The sequence below is a fragment of the Homo sapiens genome, chromosome 1, assembly GCF_000001405.40.
Source record: "Homo sapiens chromosome 1, GRCh38.p14 Primary Assembly".
In the NCBI taxonomy this organism is placed as follows: domain Eukaryota; kingdom Metazoa; phylum Chordata; class Mammalia; order Primates; family Hominidae; genus Homo; species Homo sapiens.
This window is the reverse complement of record NC_000001.11, coordinates 87,328,380-87,350,425: the sequence shown is the minus strand read 5'-3', so window position 1 is coordinate 87,350,425 and position 22,046 is coordinate 87,328,380. Positions and strand designations below refer to the sequence as shown.

Genomic DNA, 22,046 nt, shown 5'->3' with positions numbered 1-22,046 from the left:
GGGCAGAGTTATTATCAATTATACCTAATTATTCATCATGAAGGAGTTAAGATTTCTCAAAATTCAAAAGAAATACCTCTTAGAGCAAGGCTGAAATGTGGGCAATCTAAATGAGCTGGCATTTCAGGTTGGATAAAGACAAAATGCAATGTTTTTTTAAGAGGAAAGAAACTAGTTATACCTAACAGGATAAAGCACATCATCAGTGCAGGTAATTTTACCAAAATGCCCCAAATGCCAGCGTTCGATAGCAATTCTGGGATTCTGGGCCTTAATAACAATACCCCGACATGTTAGAGGCTGCAGCAAAAACAAAGTAAGTAATATTGACCCCACCTTTACTTAAACTTGTGACATTTTGCTCATCATGTATGTTTTTTGCATTGATTTAATTTTTTTAAATGCTGCATTAAAAGATTATCTTAATTACTGATTTTTTGACACCTCCTTAAATTCTACACCCAAAATAAGTGCCCACTAACCTCGACTCTACTCTTAGCCCTGCTAAATAAGTAATCTCCCTGAACTTTGGTTACCTCATCTGTAAAACTGAGGGAATAATAATTAAAAGGATTATGAGGACTGAATGATATTGCATGCCTAAGTACTTGTTCATTGTAAAAGTTAATGTATAAACACATTTACAAAGCTTTATGCAACTCCAAGATAAAGTTATTATATTAAACATTATATTTAAAGATGTAAGGTTTATGGCAAGTTTAAGTCCCATGATTGATGACAGAAACTGAATCAGAGGCCTTAGAGAAATAGAATTTAAGACACACCTATTCCTACCAAACCTTATTTAAATAAAGAAAACGGTACAGTAACAACCCAAGAAATCAATTTCCTTTCCAGGTTTCATAATTAATCTTCATTTGTAAATCCTGTTTGTCCTCAGATTTTCTCTTTACAGTTCCTAAAAACATTCAATTCACCAAAAATGAAAAATTAATTTAGGAAGAAACTCTAACTTAAGAAAAAACTTGCAGCTCAAACAACAGGTGAAAGCACACAAATATAGAAACTGTTTTTGAAGAAGTTGGGGATGTTAACCTTTTAGTTCAAGATGGGGGGTTGTTCCAGAGTGAAGGAAGGTGAGATGCCTCCCGTTCTCATGAGCTAATGATTGTTTCCAAACTGGTTAGAATTCAGTGCTAATTGCATTTTAAAACACCACCTCTGAAATCCTTTTCTCTCTCAGGATCTTGCATCAATGTTTCACATTTTCAATGCAACCTTTGCACTTCACCTTTCTCACTCAACAAATTCTGAATGTCAGATCTACGGGAAGAACTCAGTTCAGATCCTTCCTCTCCCCAGCAGGTTTTGATCTGGTGATGGTGATGTCAATTCCTAGGAAAGGCTGTCCTGCCCTGGTTCTGAGGGGAGAGAGACAATTAAAATCGGTACTTTGGTGACTCTACTCAGGCTTGTCCATTCTAACAGGGAGTCATTAAACAACTTTCCAGTGTCATTCAAAGAACTTATAACAGAATCAATTGATTTTCATCCTCTGCTTTATTAGTTGTGATTTAGGAAATAGAATGGCCCTGTTTACACAGCTGTAACATGTCAGGGCCTGTAGTACATTATTGGCTTGAGGCCTCCGAGTTGCCGTCCATTCTCAGCAGAATCAATCTGAACTTGAAAACATTCCCTCTAGGAAACATGCACATATCTACTAGCATAAAGCACTTCTTGCACAACTGAAAACAGTATTCACTTGAGGTAAGTTGCAAGTTCACCTTCCAAAAATCAGCCCTGACTTGTCATTGCTCTCAGCATGTTCACGATGGGAGCAGAGGGCTACAAATGCCTCTTTAACTAGGTACCCAGCATCGGCGAATGTGCTACACTTTGCTGCTAGTCAGATCTCAGACTCTGCAAGTGGGAGTAGCTGGCTGTTTAACATGCGTTCAGAGCACTGCCAATCTAAAATGGCTGCTCAGTAATACTTTAATTGCAGTTTCATGGAAACAAATTGCTATTTAACTGCAATAAGCACTTCTGTGACTTGGCTGCACTAACAATAGGTGAGTCTTAGTAACAAAGCTATAAGTAACATTAACTTGTAAATGGCCTTTTTCCAATGGCCTCTTGAAGGGGTCATAGGTGGGACAGCACCCAGGATAGAATTCCCTGGTGAAGGGTGAAGGGGTCTTTGGGGTGAAGGGTGATGGGGTTTTTGGATCTCCTCAATTTAAATACAATTAGTTAGGCTACATGGGAACTCTTCACTAGACTCCATATGTAGCTCTTGGGTTCACTGTTTATTATATGATTTATGGGCCCTAAGAAATATTTTATATAAATAGTAGTGCACATTAGAATCTTACTATATTGACATTTAAAGCCCTTTAAGAGCTTCCTTTTAGATGATTAGTTGTTTCAAATATCAGTGTTAATAAGGGCAAAAGAAAGAATTTAAATACAGGTAATATTAAGAGGATGACAATTTCACAGACTTCATTTTGGTGTGTCAGTTTTCTCGTTTTGTATTTTATAAGACACTACAGTCCGGGTTAAACTATTTCCTAATAAATCATGAAGAGCTGAAAATAGTTTCTAGTGGCAAACGATTTGGTTTGGAAAAGCTTCAGGCTCCCCTGCCTTGCGGGATGTGTAAATCTAATTAGACAGTTAGATAGGTAAAAAACATTAAACCCTTTTAGAGGACTATCTTTTTACAAAATTGTTTCATTAACAAGAGTGACAATTTGCATGATTGAGACATTTATATGTACCATAAACATAATTTTTTTTATCAGGAGTTCAGCAGGGCTCAGTAACATTTGCTTTTATTTTTAATTGCACTTGCTTGTAGGGACTGGGGGCCATCTTGCTCTATGACGTGGTTAATATTAAATAAGTCCTTTCTAAAGAACAGTGTCCATCTTGCTAACTAATAACATCACAAATGCAATGGATGAAAGGTGGAATAAACTCATAGATTTTTTTTTTTCCTAAGCAATGTTGAGATTGGGGGAGGAACTGCACACAATCGCTGCTCACATCAGAATAAACCTGAGTGTTTTTAGTAGCTTTCTATCCACACAGAGCATCCCCATTAGAGCCGGGTTTTATTGTTTGAAATGCCTCTGGTTTCAAGAAAGTGTTTTACCTAAAGCAAGACTACTACTTAAATATGTTCTATTGTATATTCATAGCTCCATTAGTCCTTCTCCAATTTAGCACATCAAAGAGAAGGCTTCATCACTTGCATGTGGATTATACTAACATGAGTGACATTTGTAATCTTATAGGTCTGCAACTTAAGAAATGCTTTTAGAAGCTCATTATTAAATACGCAGCAGTGCTTGAGGAACCAGCCATATAATAGTTTATTTAAAGTCCGTAATGACCTTAGCCCTCCACATCATTAAATGCGACAATATATTATTTACTAAAGTTATTAACCACCTCCTTTGAATTTGTACATATCAGGGACATAAGTGCTTATGCCAAAAAGAATATAGAAAATGCCTGCAATCTCATTAACCCATTTCCCCCTTTACCATCGCAGTCTAACTTCCTTCAGAAAGTTCCTTAAAGGAAAAAAAACAAATATAAGAACCAGAACTAGTTTGAAGAAATTCCCCAAGGATCTAATTCAAACAGACATCTAATTCAAACATATATATGTGATTTCTTCATATTATTTTCTTGCATTTTATTTTTATAAGGTTCTAACAAAACTATTCACCTCAACTCTATGCCTTTACAATCTCCTCTAGGAGGTTTGAAGTTCAACTGATTTTTTTTTTCCCCTGCCCTGGAATCTCTGAAAACAGGAAGTGAGCACAGAAGTTCTCAAAGGGAAGCTGACTGGTAGTTGAGATGTGCTGAGCTACACCTCTCTACATGGCTCCACGGCTATTCTCAGAGGGAGGGTCTACATCAGGCGCTTTTCTGGAACAAAATAAAATGCCATCTTAAAAAAGAAAATTTAAAATAGTAGCGTTCACACACCTGGTTTTATTAGCCTGTGATGGAAGTTGTAGTTGAAATTTGCTCACATCTAAGGAAGCTGGCAGTACAACCTCAGCCTCCAGGCCTATTTGGTTTTCCTCCTTCCAGCACTAGCTGTTATACTGCATGCTTTCCGGAGGGCAGCTCTGCGGGCAGTGCAGGCACTGTGGTGGACACTCTGCTGCCTGCAACCAGCAACTCAGTATCTCAAGACTAAGACTAAATGAAGTCAGAATCTTCCCCCAAAATACATACGGAAACGCAGTCAGTAAAGAAGTGTAGGAGCAAAACAAAATAAACACCTTACAGCCAACCACACGAGCCTAAGGGTCACCAGGAAATGGCTACTTCACCAATCAAAGATCACCATAAAAAAAGAGCTCTGGGTCCCTACAACTAAGTGAGCTTCAAAATATGTACAGGTATGACTTAGAAATTGTGACTTCCTTCAAAAGCTATAAACTCAATAAGAGAACAGGATGGTTGTGCCGTATTTTTTTTTATACATACTTTTCATCAATACCCAAGGCTTTGTTTGCTATTGAGAAAAAGAATAAACAAAATAGTGGACACTCAAGTATTTATAAACACAAAAGACTTACTGTGATATAGAAGTGTAACGAAATGCTGTTAACAGAATATTCTTGACTTATAGAAAGGACCCTGTTAGAAACTACTTTGTACCCCTGCCAATAATGGCGTGGTTAAGTAATTTGAAGAATACCTTACTGGCCCAGAGCTAAATAAATATACACTCCACCTCCCTCAACTCCTTCAAATTTAAAGTGAGCTTGTTATTCAACAACAATAAAAACTAAATTTCTTCAAAATACAGAAGAGAAAAAGCAGTGTTTAAACCCAAACACCATTAAATATTTTTTCTTTTAAGTTTTTATTATTTAAATACACCATACTAGAGCAAATGTCTCTGAAAATATCACAAATAAAAGATTTTTTTTTTTCTTCATTCAGCAAATTAGAAGTAGGGGGAATTTTCTACACAGTAGCTGCTATGAGCCTGATTTTTTTTTCCAAATTTTTTTCTTTTTTTCATTCTTTTTTTTTTCTTTGCCATGGGAGTAGCAACATTAGGACAAAAACACTTACATGCATACATACATTGTATTTTACAGAGATACAATAAGTGTTTGTGATAGAATATCACAAAAGCCACATCTCTTTCCTTTATCTCATGGTCAGTTTTGATTGAAACACGTTTCCTTACAACACTTAAATATACAAAGAGCAAATAGAATGTTGTTAAGGTAAAACACAGGGTACAAACTCTGGCCAGTGCCCTGCTAATTGTTAATGAGGGTAGAAAGCAGATTTGAATGCTTCTTTTAATTAGCTTCATTAGTCATTTCCCTCCCCCCCAGCTCCCTCCCCCTCCCCAAGATGTCCTCTGGTGGATCTTTTTTCATTTTCTCTACAGTCTCCCATTAGCCCAGGTTCATGGAGTCCTTAATGTTCATATTCAGTCATTTTAATACACCAATAAATGCGGGAAGGGCAATCAAGACTAAAGAAGGTGCAATGGCATGGAGCTGGCACTGGTGCTAGCTACAAAGGTGACTTGTCTACTGAAGACACATGGGATCCACCTGTGATGAACAAATCTGAGATGAAGGCACGCATTCTGCATTACTCTGACCTTTTAGCAGACCTGCAAGAAATAAAAACGGGCATCTTAGCTAAAATGCTAAATTTGAGAGATATTAAACTCAAACATGACTGCTTTTGTCTTCCCCACATTCACTAATCTTCTTTTATTAGATTACTTTCCAACTGTGACTTGATAGAGGCTTTCTATGCTACTTACTCTGGCAGTGAAGAACTAAAGCATAACATTTTCTGCAGTTTTACTAGCAAAGAAAATGAGACAGTAAATGGACGCTCAGAAAGTTTCTGGTGTAAAGTACTACAATTAATTGCTTAACTCTGTTAAGAGCAAGTGTCTTTCCAAAAGGAATGTAACATCTTGCCCAGCAGTGGGATCTTGAATTTTTTAAATAGCGGGGACATTCCAAGACAAGTTCCTACCTAGGAAGTTTTGGGTTCATATGCTTAACCGTGTAACCTTTTGGAATGTTGCTTAAACTGCTTGTGTCTCAGTTTCCTCATCTTTAAAGAAGGGATAATGACACTGTTATGATAATTACATAATACATATGGGAGCACTTTCAACAGTGCTTGGCCCTTAATAAAAGTTCAACAAATACTGGCAGTTATCATTATTATTCCGATATCCCCATGTGAAAAATATTCACCCATATTGGTACTACCTATAGGTGTGTGTCTATATGAAAATTTCTATGTACAAATATTCACATATTTTTCACTATTTCTTATCTGCTATGTCACTTAATAGCTACACAAATATGTGATTCAATACATGCAATGTGTTAATGACCTGTGATAGATAAAAGAACATAGTTCAATGCAAGGGTGGCTTCAATGTCTAAGTCAGAAATGGAAATCCACACACTTGTCAAATACAATCTGTTTGCAATTACCAAAATGAAATAATACATATTAGGTTGTTATGGTTTTTAAATGACATTTTGAGCCTCCCAGGAAGTTCTCGTTTCACCCTTTCCCTAACTTACAAAAAGCCTGTAGTCTATTAGGAACTGCAACCCCCTACTTCCAAGCTAATTAAAGTGGTGAAGGCTTAATTCCCCAGAGTGGAAGCTCAGTGTGAGAAAGGTAATTTGTCTGTCCAGAACAAAGATGCAGCAGCAGCCAGCAAGCATATTTAATAAATGAGCATCAAATGTCTTCTACGATGGACACACACAACACCAATTATGTAACTATGGGGGAACTGCGAAGTGACATGTAGACTAGAACACTCACTAAATTTTCCTCCAACTAAAGAGATGTGATCTAACTCCTGTTCCACTGAAAACTGAAAAGCACAGGTAATTCTAGATGGCACCATCACACTTTTGAGTGGAAGAAAAAAATTCCAGAACAGGCAGCAATCTACAAAAGAAAAAATTAGCCACAATTCCTGATTTACATAACCCTCTAGAAGGCAGCATTCTCCCAAAGCTAGCCAAGCCTCCTTTAAGTGATATAGGTTATAAAATGTTGTAGATCCTTGAACACTAGTGGCCTGAGATTTCAGTCCATCTGAAATGCAAGATTTCAATCACTGTATGATTTAAAAGCTTAAAATTATTTTTCTTGGAATATACAACAGCCAATGATGCAGAACAACAACTACACTACACAGCCCAGACCCTGGGAACAAATCTCAGAATAAAAGTTTAAAGGGACCAGACAATGGGGGCCTATGTTTTCCATGCAATTAACTGCCTTTAAAGAAGGGATGTTCGAATAATCAACTCATTGCTTTTAAGCCAGAGGATCCTTGAGTATATTTACCACGCATAATACACCAAAAATGTAATTGATTCTGCGAATAGAAGGAAAATGGCCAAAATAAATGTCCAATTTTCCCTACCAAAAATATGGAGAACGAGAGAGGAGAAAATAATAAAACGAAGCCATTTGTCATTTCTCCCCATCTCATTGCCTCCAGAAAAGAAACGCCACAGGGTTTTGGGAAAATAATTTTAAAGCCTCTCCAGTTCCAAAAAGCAGTTTATGTTCCACCAGGAAGTATGTTTTCATTAACTCTTCCCCCTTGCCCTCTCATTAATATCTCTCTGGACCACGTTCAGCTTGCCCAAAACCTTTATTTATAAAAACTACCTTGTGAATTGACCGTGCTCATGGTGAGCTGGGCACCAAGGGCAAAAATGTGAGACACTTACGCCAACAGGGAAATGTTCTTAATTAACAGCACCCCCAAAACACAGCTTCTCACCAATGTCTGACAAGAACATTTCCATAAGTTGTATTTCCTTATGCCTTTTAAGAGCTATTAATTTTTGAAGGCCACCTGTCTCTTTTTTGGCCTCCAACATTAAGAAAACATACACTAATAGGTTCTTATTCATTGCCTAAAATATAGTGTTCCAAAATGAATACCCTACCACTGCCATCCTGGAAAAGGTGTGGAAAACAGATTTCAATGAAAGGCATAAGACATGTAATCTCATCAACAGGTAAACCTGGTTTTTCTGCAGTTCTCCTCCCTAACACCTCTAAATTTATGCCATCTTATACTATAAAAGATGGTATGAAATCCTGCTCATATTTCTTAGGTGTGCTTTATACTTGGTCCCTACCTAACACTGCTATTGCCTGTATTCAGTGCTTCACAATCTAGCAACATTTTCCATCTCATCTCTACATCCTTTCATTCTCACCATGCATGCTGGTGAACTGCAACAATCATTTTTTTGTATAGTACTTTGCTAAGTCAGAGAAAGAAATGGTATAAAACCAGCAACAAAGTGAAGCTCTAACTCGGGGAAAAATTAAGCTTTTACATCAGAAGGAGTGGAGAGAAGGTCTACCATTTTATTTCTAGCATATTTTTTCTTTTTTGCTACCAAGTGTAACTACAAACAGCTTTACCTCTATTCTGAATAGGTATCTCCAAATATTTATGTTGCTCATTCATTGTTCTCAACTCTGCCCTGCAGATTCACTTCATTAGAATCCAAATCACAAAAATCTTTAAGCATTTATATGTCTTGGCACTCCTTGAAGAAGCTTGAAATACCTCATCAGCAGTGACTGGTTAGTTTGCAATTAAAAAGTTCAACTTTTATTCTTAAAATGGTTATTCTATGTAGCTCCCCATATTAGTAAATTAAAGTGCACATAATGTCATGTAATTAACACTAAGAAACAGAACATACATTTAAAATTACCTCATAAACTTGAGCAAGGGAAAAGGGCAAATATAAGCATCAAAATATGGCAGCATAATTTTAATGGTTAAAAGTTTTCAAATATTTGTCAAACCCCCACCTCCACCACCGCACTAAGAAAATGCATTACAGAAGACAAAAAAGTCTATTTTTTTCCCCGAGATTTTTGAAGCTTGCTAAATTCCTATTTGCAGATAAATGTTGTTTTTTTTGTGATCCTTACAACAGACATTAATGAAGTTCCTATTGTAAATCCATAAAGAATTACCAAGTGAAGTGTGCACTTTTTGTTTCAATGCAATAACTCAGTGCTGTGTGATTGCCTGGGTTAATGATGAAAAAGTCAAACATACTATCAGAGCTGATGGAAAAATCTATCACCAATCTGAAATTAAAATTCATCTGTGGTCAATAAGATTTAATATCCATGCAAGTGGCGCTGTAAAGAGTAAATGAATCAATGTCATCAATACATAATCAGTATGAAATATGATGTGAATAAAATTATGCACACGAGTCATACATTTCACTCTTTTCTGGGCCGGTGTGGAATGAACAGTCTCTTAACTGAAGGTTGACAGTAATTGTTACAAATTAGGCACAGCAGTTATCAAAATGCACTCACTTGCATAGCTATAGGACTTATTAAGGAGATTAAAATAGATCTAAAACTATCCAGTACTGGGGGTGCTGGACAACTGTTGATCACCAATTTTCCCTCTGGAATATCTTCTAATACTACATGATTTGTATACTTGTATAATTTCCTAATTTTTAATTCTGGTACAAGGATTTTCAAGTTGTGGATCAAGAATCAAGATACATAATTTCTAATGGCACTATTAATGGCACTAAGCGGGTTAGCAAGAACAAGAACTTGGTTTTAAAAGCCATAACTTATTCAAATGTTATGGTACCGCCAATGAACAAAAATGCCCTCTTATGAAGTTACAGAATGTTTTGTAAAATTACTCTTCTAAAAAGTAAATGAATTGTAAATTGGGTTTGGAAGGCAGGTGTCCAGATTGCTATTCCTAACGCAGAAATCATTCTTTCATAACAAAGATCTTTATTCTCTTTTCCTACCATAAATGTTCTAATTTTTCTTCCACAATAACCTATCACATCATGTTTCTGAATTTCAAAATTGTCAAATGGAATAAATAACCAGTTATATGGAAGCTTTACATTTTGTTTGCTTTTGCATGTGATAATCTTATGTTCAACGTGAGTGAAGCTACAGATATAACAAAGTCAGGATTTTTTTTTTAACTAGAAAGGATTCACAATTTAATCAGCTATCCTACTTCTGAACACTCTATGTACAACTAGTAATCTACATTTCTTTAAAAGGGCATGCAAAAATACAACCACCCAAGAAAACTCTCTTGCTAGGTTAAGAGGTTGAACCTTCCAACTTGCTCTAATAAAGCTTATTAGTAATTGCTGGGTATTCACCTTCTGGTCTGGCAGTAGTGGATTGCTCTGAAGTGAATTCAAATGGCCATTGATGAGAGCTGTAGGTCTATCATGTTCACAAAATAAACTGCCATTGATGTAGTGAAACCGATCTCCCGGGACCAGGCGATTCCGGCAGGTAGAGCATGTAAAACACTGAAAGGGAAAAACAAACCCACTGAAAACAAGGTAAAAATTAAGTCTTTTTTTGGTCACAAGTTTATAACCTGTTATTAAGCAGGTATCTGTCAAGTACAGAGACACTTAGGGTTTAGCGTTTTTTCTTCCTTTGACAGATCTCCAGAAAACAGTAAGCCAAATTGCTATCAACTGGACCAGGCTAAATGGGGACAAATCCAAATACATGTGTACTTCTGTCTGTGGCATAGGGGAAGCGTGGTCTGTGCATGTGGATGTGTAACCATCACTGCCATGCTACAATTTCAATCATTCCTTCAAGTGTCTGCAGCTTGAGAAAACAGTTCATACCAAGGAGAAATGCTTTGCCCCCATGTAGGTAGGAAAGGTATGATTTTTTTTTTAAAAAAAAAAGAGAGATGCAAATACTACCTTAAGATGATACACATTGCCTTGCGCCCTCATGACGAGTTCACTCGCAGGAATCGACTGTCCGCAAGCGCTGCAAGCACCGCTATTTCCAAATAACCTGAAACAAAGAATAACGGTTGACACCAGTGAATAATCCTAAACCAAAGAAAAAGAAAGAAAAACACCCCCAGACTCTGGGCATCCCTTTGGAATGCATTTGACAGGCTGAATTCTTAGGCTCAAGCCTCAGATTTTCTGAGTGATTTACATAATCTGGGAAAAATCCTTTTTGTGGGACAACAAACTTCTGCCTACCGCAGAGGATGCCCCAGATTTAATCAAAATATTGACTTACACCTCTAGCAAATACAATTCTGTTCTACACACATTTTATCAGATTACTAGGTTCATCATAAAAAAAAAAAAGATACAATTCATGACTGGAGTTTAAATGCATTGTGTCCTTGAAATTATATGAAGAACTCTTTTGTACTTTAATCATATCTTCAGATATGAGTCATCAAAAGGGTTAAGAGGATTTGATTGTATATCTAAGAAGACATCATGCTCAGTGTATTGAAACTCCCGTAAACCTCCATCAGTGCAGACTTTCCATTAGAAACTCTCTGCTATCCAGGTTGATATATAATGTGTATGGGTTAACCTTTTCAATCATGGTGTCAACACTTAAGATTTGCCTCTGCTCATCTCTTTCATCCTAACCTTCTCTCTCTCTTGATAATGAAATGCTTGCTCCAACTTCCCTCTATCTGCTCCTGAGTCCACAATTTAGATTACTTCATCTCTGCTAGCAACAAACTGAATGAAATTTCGATTTGAGCAGAAAGTAATTTACCGGGATCTGGACCCATTTGTCATCATATCTCTCTGGGTGTTTGCTGTATCACTGCAGTTTTCCTATGCAATCAAATGAGACCACAACATCTGCCATGGGGGGAGGAGGGGGAGAAGGAAAAGGCTGCAGAGGAGGGGAAAGCTCAAGGAATTGTGGTGTACTGAAGAAAAACATATACATAATTCCTTACATCCTTCTGCAAGCACAACAAAATATTTTAATAACCACCGAACTTGGGCTTTTATGCAATCTGTAGACTCAACCTGGGAAGCTTTATTTGCTTTTGGGCTTCCCTCTTTAATATCCACAAATATTTATTAAACAGACCAAAATGATTTCACATTGAAAGGTGGTGTCGGAACAAGTAAGCAGAATCAGAGAGGTAGTTTTCAAAAACGAAAAACAAAGTAAGAGGACTTACAAATTAACATATTGGTGTCATAATAAATATTAACATTTGCATTTCCTCCTTGTCCAAATAAAGTCATAAAATGCAGTCTGTGTCAAACCAGGAGACATATTCCTATAGAACACCCCATAATCTGAATGATTGCAGCATGCCTCTATATAAAAATAATTGCTTTGAGTTTTCAGAATCTGGTCTTGCAGAAGAGGCTTGTCATGTTCAAACTACTAATTTGCTGTCGCCACTTTATTGAAAATAGCCTGTAAGTTGTTATTAAATGTATTGACTGAACGACAGGGAGAGTAGTAAAACTGCCCCTTAAGATGGCTTTTAATAGGAAGCCCGAGAAACAAATTTTGCAGCAGCATCGATTTGAAGAGTTCAATCAAAACTCCATTTCAAAACTAATTAGTCTGAGATCCACGACACATTGACACGTTCTTGCAGAATCAGAACAGTTACAGAAAGAAAGCTGAAATAATACACTGTCAGGACCTCTAGCTGCAGGACCACACCATGTGGGAGCTTGGGGGGCCTCTGGGCTGCTGTCTCCTAATGCTGGACACTTCAGGAACACTGATGAGGACCTCCCGGTGTCTCACCTGCAGTACCACTGCCGCAGGGGAGTTCTCAGAAGGGGAAGGTAGCCAGAGAATGGGCATGGCCCTGAGGAAAGCATTTATGGACGGCAGTAGTGCTATTCCAACCCCCAAAAGGGATACCAAATTCAAACAATTTGGGTAAAAATAAAGTTAAAAACCAGTCCATGTGGCCAAATACATGCTGAGGATAAGAGAAGACAGGTAATGGGGGTAGAAGGGGGTGACAGAATCCTAACAAGGCTAAAGAACAAATATCCTCTTACAGCAACCCTGAAGTATTTTAATGGATAAGAATCTATAATTATGGTTGCCACTACCAACAGGTACACAGTGACACTCCATCTCAAAAATACCCTTTTCACAGTACCCATCTGATTACTCAGCCTAAGTGTTCATTTATTTAACAATTCACCCTGAGTAAAGTCAGTTGTAAGTCTTCAACATCGAAGTGTATTTTAATAATCAGGGCAGTTCATATGTAATCCAAAAGCCTTTCATAGATCTTATTTTTTTCCAGGGCTGCTATCATAACCTTTCAGAGAACAATCAGCCACAAAATGGTGGGATTCCTGAAGTGCCAAAAATTACAGTTACAAAGTTTGAAATGACCAAGATCTACCCAGGACTGATGTGCTATTGAACAACGTATCAATGGAGTTTAAGATCTTTCCATGCCTACAGCTTTAAGGCTGCCTCAGAGCAGAATAACTTACGTGTCTATACACATTCTAATCCCCTTTTACCAGAGAGGAAGGCTACCATTAGAATTCCACCCTTTTTCTGAAAAGTTGTGTGTGCGTGTGTGTGTGTGTTTTTTCACAACGTTTCTGTGCGCTGGAGAGTTAATTATCTAACCAGGGGGACTGTCCGGACAGTGTTTGATTTAAAAGGCTCGAGGCTTTAGGTGCTCAATTAAGTAGCTATCGGTCTCAGACTGGACTATAATGGGCTCTTTTCTCTTTAACTCAAGCAACGGGGAGATATACCCCAGGTCAGGCTAATTAAAGCCAGGGGAGTCTTTAATTGTGATGACAGAATCGGTTTCAGTTTCCTTTCTTTGGGTCCTCAGTCCAAGAAGGTCGTTAATATTTCAGCATTTGGGCAATGCAATCAATCACAAACATCAAGAGGTTCCTTATACAGGGAAAACGGAAAAGATGGGAAGAAATCCCACCAAACCACTGCACTTTAAAGGTGCTTTGCTCCTGTTTGAACAACACCATGTAGTTTTATTCCTGTTTGCCCGCTGAGCTCCAGCTCTCCTTGCTGGCATTAAGAGATGGAGGGCAAATCGTATTTTTAGTTTACTATCAATGCTTAGCATCTTTCAGTAACTTCAATGACCAATAGGTGGGCTTATTTTCAACTGCATTATTACTTCAAGCAAAATACATGCAATATGAAACGCTACCTGGCTGTGTTTTCTAAACTGCTTTTGGGCAAGGAGAGGTACGTTTCTGAGAGTGTGGCTGAAAGGTATATACATTTGTACCTGCAAGTAAATATCAGCAACCTATCTGAGGAGAAAAAAGCACATCCACAGCTACTGATCCAGAAGCAATTGGTTTTCCAGCAGGTTCCTATATTTAATCTAAATTCTGCACCAGCTATATTAAATGTAACAAAGAAATGCAACCCAGAAATTATGCCTGGAGCCAAGTCCATTAAAGGTACTTCGGAAAAACTAGAGACCAGGCACCTTAAAAGCACCAGAAGCTATTGATACTTAAGAGGGGGGCTGTGCATAATAGGAAAAAAAAAATCAGCCAAATTACGCTTGGTTAATTCAGAGTAACAGATCTGCCCCCAAGTGAATTGGAGGCCTTGAATTAATTCTGTTATGACAAATCAAGATAAACGTTCCCCCTAAATTGCATGCGATTTAATTAATTTTTGAGATCCTGTTTTTTTTTTTTTTCTAGCTAATAGTTCACATGCTCCTGTGCTGTCATTGTGCTTGAGTGGGCAGACTTCAAAGTGATATTAAATAACCAACTATTAGATTTACCTAGCACGTCCTATTGGAAAAGTGCCATTTAATTACCTAGCCTGTTCAATTAAAGGGACAGCATTCTCTGAATATAGCAGCTTGCTGTTGATTACCAGGGAAATGAACTCGCTGTCTGGCGGCGCCTCCATTCCTAACGCCACCCCCTACCCAAACACACCCTCCACCACCAACTACCAATTCTCCCCACCCTCGCCCCAGGCCCCCACCCCCGGCCGCGCCGGGCTCACTGCGGCTGCGGGCGCCACGTGAACCGCCCGAGTGGAGCCCGGGGAAAGAAAGCGCGACCCGCTCGCCCGGCTCCCGCCCTGCGCTCGCCCCCTCGTGGGCCCGAGACCGCCCGCCGGCTGGGCGCTCTGGCTGCGGCCTCGGGCGGCGCCGGCCCGGGTGCTGGCCGCCTAGGGAGCGAGGGCCAGCCGACGACCGCCACCCTGGCTTCCGGCGCGTTTCCTCGCCCTCCCCGGACCTGGAGCCCCACCCGCCGGTCTCCGAACTTCCTCCTCTCGCTGCACTTTCCGCGCCAGTCTTCGGGCCCGAGGTGGGGGTGGAGGAAAGACGGTTCGAGGAAGAGAAACGGAGTTTCCGAAGCTACTTGGGGCGCTTGGGTGGAGCTGAGGGGTCGGGAGCCGGGGGTGGGGGAAGGGGCAGTCCCAAGGTTCCCCTATTTTTGTAAGATGGGGGGGCCAGGCAGGCGTTGGTCCCTTTAAGATCCACCCTCCCCCTCCGCTCTACAACCCCCCCCCCTTCATTCTTTCCCTCCCTCTCTTAGAGGCCAATTTTGTTAATTAAATGTTTTGTTTGCGACGCAGCTCTCATTCATTGCGGACACGTCATTCGGAGCAGATCTAAGCCAGAGACCAGATCTCATTAGATAAAGCCCATCAGAACTAAGAAAATGGAGGAGCCACTAATTAAAGCTTTTAATTGTGCGGATTCGCTGCAGCAAGGCAGCCGCTTTATCTGAAATCTTGGAGGGAGAGGAGGCAGAAGCCCAGCTCTGCCCATCGACACTTGGCCGCGGAGGGGGAGGGGACTGGTGAAAGCGCCCCCTCATCTTGCAGCCCCCTCCCCCGCGCTCAGGCCGGCCTTTCCCAGCTCTCCCGCAGCTTTTTAGCAAGACCTTGGTTGTTTTCAAAAAACCACAACTCAAAGTCAAGACAGTTTAAAAGCCCCTCAGTAAATCGCTATGTGGTCTCAGTCGGACCAAGGGGTCCCCTTCACCTGGCGGCGGGCGAGCAGATTACTCCACTCTTCTGCAGCGGTCCCTGCGGCATTGAAAGCTCCTCCAACAAGTGGACTTGAGGGACATTGGAGAGGGGGTAGCTGAGAGGAACAGCAACGTCTGCACCTTCCCACCCTTTGGACATCCTGATGGGCTGAGAGAGGAACACTGAAGGAAGACTTCAGTAATCTCTTAAATTGGAGGGGAAGGGGCGCTCAGCTGCTGGTGAGCCCTGAGCTAAGTGTGAGGCCATCAATTTCGTACTGAGCTAGAACTCATCTCTCCTAGAAAGATCTAAGGTCCTCGGGGTAGCATGTAGTTCAAGAGCGAGCCTGGCTCCAGTTTCCAGATTCAGAGGGAAAAAAGGAAGTAAGAACGTAGATGCCATTAATTAAGGCTCAGGGCTGGGCACACATCCTCCATTGCTCCATTAGGGCACAGGAAAACACCAAAAGGCCATTTACATTTGGCCCCAAGAATAGAGAAAAGAATGGACACAATTCCCAGGAAGCCACTTGCCTAAACTTGTCCTGGGGGAATACAAGCGGACCCATCTTCTTTTTAATTAGTTGTAATCAGAAGCGAGGGTTTTTTTTGTTTTTTGTTTTTTTTTTTTTGAAGGCACTCGGAGAAGAGATGAATCTGTACCATTCACGGAATCTTAACAGCACTGTCAATTTTTCCACTTCAAACCACACTCCTTTCTTACCACAGTTTTGCTTTCTATTTAATTACAGCACCGTCAAAGCTCATGGCATTACTTGGAAGGAGGACCAGAAAGCATTACACCCATGTTCCTGCTGATTTTCCAACATTTACTTCTAAAAGAACACTTAGTGAAATTAATGCTGCCATCTTAATTTAAAAATAAAAGCCCTCTCCCTTCCTGTATTTCTTTTACTTGGACTGATTGAGGATGCCAGCAGAATCGACACAGGTTGCATTATCAAAATAACTAAATGTCATTTTACTCCATCATCTTACACTAATGATATCACTGGGGTAAACATATCCACACTCAGCTCGGAACTGCACTGGGATCTTTTACAATGTTAGTCGCAGGATAAGGCGAATCACAATGGAGCTAAACTTTGAACAAAATAGTTCATCCACTGATTTACCCACACTGAAGAAAGAAAAAAATTTTCTACTAATCACTTTAAAGAAAAAGGTTTAGGACAAATTTACATAGGATGAAATTCTTAAAAGTGTGCGGTTTTCTAGTATCAACTGTGTGCGTGTGGGTTTTTTTTTTAATTACTGGATGTTGAAACAGAACACCTCCTAGAAGCATTCATGTGCATCAGTCTATCAAACCATTTACTCAAATTAAATGTGTAATCCTTCAAATGCCTCCTTTCAAATTAATGAGTTTAAGTAGCTTGAGTTCACCTGAAAAGATCCTATAGGCACCTGACCTCCTGAATTCTTTCCATTAATTGCACTGCAACTTGTTGGAAAAGACTGCTTACATGGACATATGAATGTTCCTATACATTGCTTTAAAATGCAAGATTAGTATAATTCTATAGCCTTTTTCTAAATCTCTTTTGGGGATCAAGGGCAGTGATACAAACGACAACAAAAAACCCAAAACCTGAACATGCTTCAATTGAAAAAAACTGCAAATTCTACATCGCAAACCACACACTAACTGAATTATTGCAAGCCTCCGAGTAACAGTATGAAGAGAAACATTACCACCAGGTTTTATTTCTTGGGACTTTTTTTTTCTCTATAAGAAGAATTACAAGTCTTTAAACTGATGGATAATTAGCATTTTTCTCAAGGAGCACAAAGAACGAATCACAGCCTTCCGCTCAAAAAAGTTTCAAGATGCTTATGTAAATATCGTTAATAAGCCATCGCCATAGACAAATCATTTCTCACTAACTACACTTGTATTTTTAAGTCAACCTTTGTTTCTGGGTTCCTCTGTGAGTTCCTACCTTGTTTTAAGAACGCAGCTTAACTCCCGCTTGGGATGTTTGCTTTTAGCCTGAAGTCCAGTAGAGGCTGACCACTTACTTAAACTCTAGGACCAGAGGGTGCTCAACCTTTGCACATCTAATGACCCAGTCCCACCAGATGGTCTTTACTTAGTATGGCATTTGCCATGAATTTGCCATCAGATATTGGAAGACTAACACATGCTTCCTGAACCCCTTAAATTCCGCCAACTAGAAGATTTTTGAGGTGAAGGCTGCATACTCCCCGTAGACGCCTACTCCTTTCCTCACAACCCTGTTAACCTTTGGCCTTGCCATTGCTCTTCCCCCCATCTCCAGGAAAGACAGCAAAGTCTTACCTAATGTAGTCATTTCTGCAAAGGATCATGCCACTTTTGGTGTAACAGGACGTGCCGATGTCGCCCAGCTGCGCCTGGCAGCAGGAGCACTTGAGGCACCGGCTGTGCCAATAGCTGTCCATGGCATAGAGCAGAAAGCGGTCCGCAATCTTGCCCCCGCAGCCTGCGCACCGCTTCCAGGAGAGGGAGCCGGCCGTCACCGGGGGCGGCTGCGAGCTGCTGCCCGGATTCACCATGGTCTGCAGAGGGCGGGAAGGGGACAGGGAGAGAAAGACAAAACAGGGGCGATGCAAAAGTTAGTAATCGCCGGAGAGAGAGCAAGCCCATTCCCCTCCTCCCCGCGGAGCTGCTGGAAGGAAACAGCAGGGCAAGGGCGGGAAGGAGGCTGAGGGGGAGAGGGAAGAAGGGAGGCTCGCCGGCAGCAGCCGCCTGTTTACTTTTCTCAAGCTTTGTTCTGGGGCCACGAGCTCCTCTCAACTTTCCTGCGCTTGCCGCCGCTGACAATTTCAGCTCCGGTACTGTCAAAACTCCGAGAGCAGGCTCCGCTGCGCGCTCCACCCCTCGCGGCACCTCCTCCCAGCCCCCGCCTCCGCCCACTGCCCCCTCCTCCCCTCCTCCGCCGCCCGCCTCCAGCAAATGAGGGTCAAACCCACCCACCGCCGCGCCCGGCCCCTCCCCAGCCCCCGCCGGGCCCCGGGACAGAGCCGAGAGGAGTGGGGAGGCGGCGGCCCCGCCGGAGCCTCGTTCCCTCCCGGGTTCTGCCCCGGGAAGTGCAGCTGCAGTTCACAAGTTGGAAATAGTTCGGTTTTCCGAAAGGGAACGAGGGAGGGACCGGCAGACGGGAGACGGAGAGCGTGGTGATGGGAGGGAAGGCAAGGTGACGGGAGGGGTGGGTGCAGTGTGTAAAGTTGCGAAACTGGTTTTTCGTATTTTAAGCAGCACCTTTCACATGCCATTGTGGTGACCGCCATCTCCCATTATTGTTCCAAATCTCATTTCATTTTGAAGATCAATGAGTGTTTTCTCTGGGTTTTCAGGACACAGGCAAGAATAATAGATCATTGAACTTTAGGATGCCTGTTAACTTCCTATACAAACACTCTCCACTTTGGTCTCACTAATCTGCCCTTGATCAGCAATTTAAATGCTAAAGCTTTGTTCCTCCAAAGGGCGGGGGGGGGGGGGGGGCGGGCGGCGTTACAGATAATGTGCGAGAAGGCACCATTAAGGGATGCACAAGTTAAATTCGAGCCCGTCCTGCTGTCACCAAAAACTGCTTTAAAAAAGAATTCCCCACTCTAATGAATGCCACAAGAGATGCAACTGGGATATAATATAGGAATCAATTTATAAAGCTTAGCCTAAACCGATTAATTTGTTGCCTTCAATCCCGAGTCCAATAAAGTCCTAGTGTTCCTCTAGTCACTTATTCTGTAAAAAGATCAAGTTATTTACTGCCAATTAAGCAGCCTGTATTGTCTTTGTCCTCTGTAAGCTGAGAGTGTGGGCTCCCCCTGAGGCTCCCGGCTATCTGCTCAAGACATTCAGCTGATACCTCAGAAGAAGGCGAACTTTGCCTGTACCCGGCCCAACTTGGCTGCTGCAAAAAAAACGAGGAAGGAACGAAACAAGGACTCGGGTTCCTTAAATAGGCCGATTTTAAACACATTTCCTCCGAAAGAGTCCCGGAACGTGTGTCCAGTGACCGCACAATAAACCAGAATAAGAACTGCACCAATTAAGCTGTAACAAAACCCTGAGACTTTGGAAACAGGACCACTCTAAAACCCATTAGCATTGCATTTATCCGAATGCATCATACCTTTATGTAAATTGATTTATCTGATGCATTTACTCGAGGAATTGCTTTTTGTTACAATTTCAGCCCTAACCCAAATGAATCTGCATTTCCTGCCCTAGATCTTTAAACTGTTTCCCCCAACGTTTTAATCGCTCCGAATTCCTTTTTAAAAGGAGAGTGAGGGAGGAGATTCCAAGCTCTTCCCCGCCCCCATCTTTAGTGAGAGGTAAATATATATGTATTTTTTTTTTGAAAAGGAAACATTACACTGAGAAAAGCATCCAGTAACCCCATTAGCTAAAGCTCTTAAGGACAAGCAATACCTTAATGCTGATTAAATCTAAAAGAGATGAATCAAGAAGACTGACCAGAAACTGACTCCCCTGATAACTAAGGACGGGCCCTCATCAAGTTTCATTTAGAGTTGGAAAAAAAAAAAAAAAAAAGAAAGCTTTTAAGTTAAATAGGCTTATACTCTAGTAATTACATAGCCAAGCAATTTAGGTCCTGGGATAGTCAGTGAAATAGAAAGCAGAACTGGCAGCTAGAGGCAAAATCTGCCCCCCTTTAACAACGTCTCTGGTGTTTTTTAATGGAGACCAAGGGAGGGACAAACGTAACGCTGGCAATTTGTAGTACAAAAATGGATGCTTAATTCATGTCTTGATTTTAATTAGGTGATTCACCGTATTTCTCCTGGATTGGAACAAAAGACTTATAAGCCAAGAAGAATTTTTTTAAAAGAACCAGCAATACCGAATCCTGCTCACTTAGATCCTTCCTGCCACTGTTTCAAAAATAGTGTTTACTAGAAGGGAGGGGGGGTATCGTGACTATCCCCACCCCCACCCCCCCAAACACACTACTTCTCATACTTAAAATCCTCATCTAAGCACCCCTTGCCTTTCCCTTATGAACTAGAAATATCCCCACCCCCTCTACGGTCCCCACCAGCCCCGTTTCCAAGAAGAGCCCTTTTGTAAGCAGGAACCGCTACAAAGCTGGCGGCCCGGGGCTGCCCTCCGCGCTAGCTCGCAGGCCGGCCTCGGTAGTTTCAGACTCGCGCTTTATCTAAGCCGACGTATTGTTTACTTGCAATTTGGGACGGTCAGGGGAAGGAAGCCAAAGAAAACAGCCCTGGCCCGAATCGACCCCCTCCCTCCCTCTCCCACCTCCCGGCCCGCGGCTCTCCACCCGCCCCCTTACCTGCTTTTCCCCTATATTGCAATATTGCGAGAGGCGGCGGCGGTGAAATGCGAGCGAAGCCGCTCGGCTTCCAGGGAAGGGGCGCCTGGGCTGGCGGAGCTGGAGGGAGGGAGGGAGTTCTCGCAGAAGCAGGAAAGGGGAGGAGGGGGCTAAGGGCGGCTTTTTTTTTTTTTTTAAATCGCGTTGCTCTGGGGCGGGTTGGGGGGCCCCCGCGTAAGTGCCGGGCGGCCGGGAGCAGAAGTGTCAGTCTCAGTCTTCGTCCTTCTCCGCCTCCGACTGCGCGCGAGCAGCTGCAGGAGCCCTCGGCCCGCGCGGCGCGGCTTCAGGCGCGGCGCAGCGGCAGCAACTGCTGCAATCGCTGCTGCAAGTTTGGCAATGTGGCTTCACTTTGTATATTCCCCCGCCCGGGGGCCCCCGCCCCCGCCCGCGCTCCTCCCGCTCCTCCTCCTCCTCCGCCGCCGCCTTCCTCCCTCCCGCGCGCTCGCTCGCTTGCTCGCTCCGGGATGGCAGCGGCGGCTCGGCTGAGCTCCCTGCACCTCCGGCCGGGAGCAGTCGCAGACACAACAGCCCCGGGAGCGGCGGCGGACGGTGCGGAGGCCGGCAGGCAGGCGCACCCAGGCGTCGGGGGCTGCGGCCGGCCGGGCCCGGCGCGCTGGAGCCTGCGCCGCTGCCGGGGCTGTTGCTGCCCGGCTCGGAGGCGGCGGCGGCGGCGGCGCTGGCCTCTAGCCGGCTCGCTCGCTCCCTCCGCGGCTCTTACACATGTGTTACTGACAGAGCAAAATCCCAACTACTCCCCGGCTCTGCCTCCGACGTCAGCGACCCTCAGCCACTGGGCGGCCGGATTGTTCAGGCGGAATAATAAAAC

General features: G+C 42.1%; 1 protein-coding gene across 3 annotated transcripts, besides 13 other annotated features; it reads right to left on the bottom strand.

Moving 5' to 3' along the window:
• Window positions 1-1,502: 1,502 nt before the first annotated feature.
• On the bottom strand, window positions 1,503-21,546 carry LMO4 (LIM domain only 4). 3 transcript variants are annotated; one of them, XM_047432941.1, is made up of 6 exons: window positions 21,182-21,546; window positions 18,612-19,199; window positions 18,175-18,413; window positions 10,794-10,890; window positions 10,224-10,379; window positions 1,503-5,638 (listed from the first exon to the last, which is right to left on the bottom strand). In XM_047432941.1, the coding sequence occupies exons 3-6, from the start codon at window positions 18,408-18,410 to the stop codon at window positions 5,630-5,632; spliced, it is 498 nt and encodes a 165-aa protein (XP_047288897.1). In that variant the 5' UTR covers window positions 18,411-18,413; window positions 18,612-19,199; window positions 21,182-21,546; the 3' UTR covers window positions 1,503-5,629. The 3 variants fall into 3 exon arrangements, with proteins under 3 accessions (XP_047288897.1, NP_006760.1, NP_001356420.1); NM_006769.4 differs by lacking the exon at window positions 18,612-19,199; NM_001369491.1 differs by lacking the exon at window positions 21,182-21,546 and having other exon boundaries at window positions 18,612-18,682.
• Window positions 14,797-15,166: a silencer, noted in NCBI's record as "silent region_1049". NCBI's record gives its function as "represses an Ori minimal core promoter by ATAC-STARR-seq in GM12878 lymphoblastoid cells {active_cell/tissue: GM12878}" and the evidence as "EXISTENCE:reporter gene assay evidence [ECO:0000049][PMID:35858748]".
• Window positions 17,786-18,424: an enhancer, noted in NCBI's record as "H3K27ac-H3K4me1 hESC enhancer chr1:87797685-87798323 (GRCh37/hg19 assembly coordinates)". NCBI's record gives its function as "activates a minimal SCP1, AML or CMV promoter by ChIP-STARR-seq in primed H9 embryonic stem cells {active_cell/tissue: H9 hESC(primed)}" and the evidence as "EXISTENCE:reporter gene assay evidence [ECO:0000049][PMID:30033119]".
• Window positions 18,425-19,063: an enhancer, noted in NCBI's record as "NANOG-H3K27ac-H3K4me1 hESC enhancer chr1:87797046-87797684 (GRCh37/hg19 assembly coordinates)". NCBI's record gives its function as "activates a minimal SCP1, AML or CMV promoter by ChIP-STARR-seq in naive and primed H9 embryonic stem cells {active_cell/tissue: H9 hESC(naive and primed)}" and the evidence as "EXISTENCE:reporter gene assay evidence [ECO:0000049][PMID:30033119]".
• Window positions 18,425-19,115: a biological region, named in NCBI's record as "NANOG-H3K27ac-H3K4me1 hESC enhancer GRCh37_chr1:87797046-87797684".
• Window positions 18,756-19,115: a silencer, noted in NCBI's record as "silent region_1048". NCBI's record gives its function as "represses an Ori minimal core promoter by ATAC-STARR-seq in GM12878 lymphoblastoid cells {active_cell/tissue: GM12878}" and the evidence as "EXISTENCE:reporter gene assay evidence [ECO:0000049][PMID:35858748]".
• Window positions 19,064-19,702: an enhancer, noted in NCBI's record as "NANOG-H3K27ac hESC enhancer chr1:87796407-87797045 (GRCh37/hg19 assembly coordinates)". NCBI's record gives its function as "activates a minimal SCP1, AML or CMV promoter by ChIP-STARR-seq in primed H9 embryonic stem cells {active_cell/tissue: H9 hESC(primed)}" and the evidence as "EXISTENCE:reporter gene assay evidence [ECO:0000049][PMID:30033119]".
• Window positions 19,064-21,058: a biological region, named in NCBI's record as "VISTA enhancer hs809".
• Window positions 19,372-20,917: an enhancer, noted in NCBI's record as "VISTA enhancer hs809". NCBI's record gives its function as "enhancer in: branchial arch[5/14] | cranial nerve[4/14]" and the evidence as "EXISTENCE:transgenic organism evidence [ECO:0001131][PMID:17130149]".
• Window positions 20,482-20,571: a silencer, noted in NCBI's record as "silent region_1047". NCBI's record gives its function as "represses an Ori minimal core promoter by ATAC-STARR-seq in GM12878 lymphoblastoid cells {active_cell/tissue: GM12878}" and the evidence as "EXISTENCE:reporter gene assay evidence [ECO:0000049][PMID:35858748]".
• Window positions 20,483-21,058: an enhancer, noted in NCBI's record as "H3K27ac hESC enhancer chr1:87795051-87795626 (GRCh37/hg19 assembly coordinates)". NCBI's record gives its function as "activates a minimal SCP1, AML or CMV promoter by ChIP-STARR-seq in naive H9 embryonic stem cells {active_cell/tissue: H9 hESC(naive)}" and the evidence as "EXISTENCE:reporter gene assay evidence [ECO:0000049][PMID:30033119]".
• Window positions 21,059-21,636: an enhancer, noted in NCBI's record as "H3K27ac hESC enhancer chr1:87794473-87795050 (GRCh37/hg19 assembly coordinates)". NCBI's record gives its function as "activates a minimal SCP1, AML or CMV promoter by ChIP-STARR-seq in naive H9 embryonic stem cells {active_cell/tissue: H9 hESC(naive)}" and the evidence as "EXISTENCE:reporter gene assay evidence [ECO:0000049][PMID:30033119]".
• Window positions 21,059-21,924: a biological region, named in NCBI's record as "H3K27ac hESC enhancer GRCh37_chr1:87794473-87795050".
• Window positions 21,495-21,924: a silencer, noted in NCBI's record as "silent region_1046". NCBI's record gives its function as "represses an Ori minimal core promoter by ATAC-STARR-seq in GM12878 lymphoblastoid cells {active_cell/tissue: GM12878}" and the evidence as "EXISTENCE:reporter gene assay evidence [ECO:0000049][PMID:35858748]".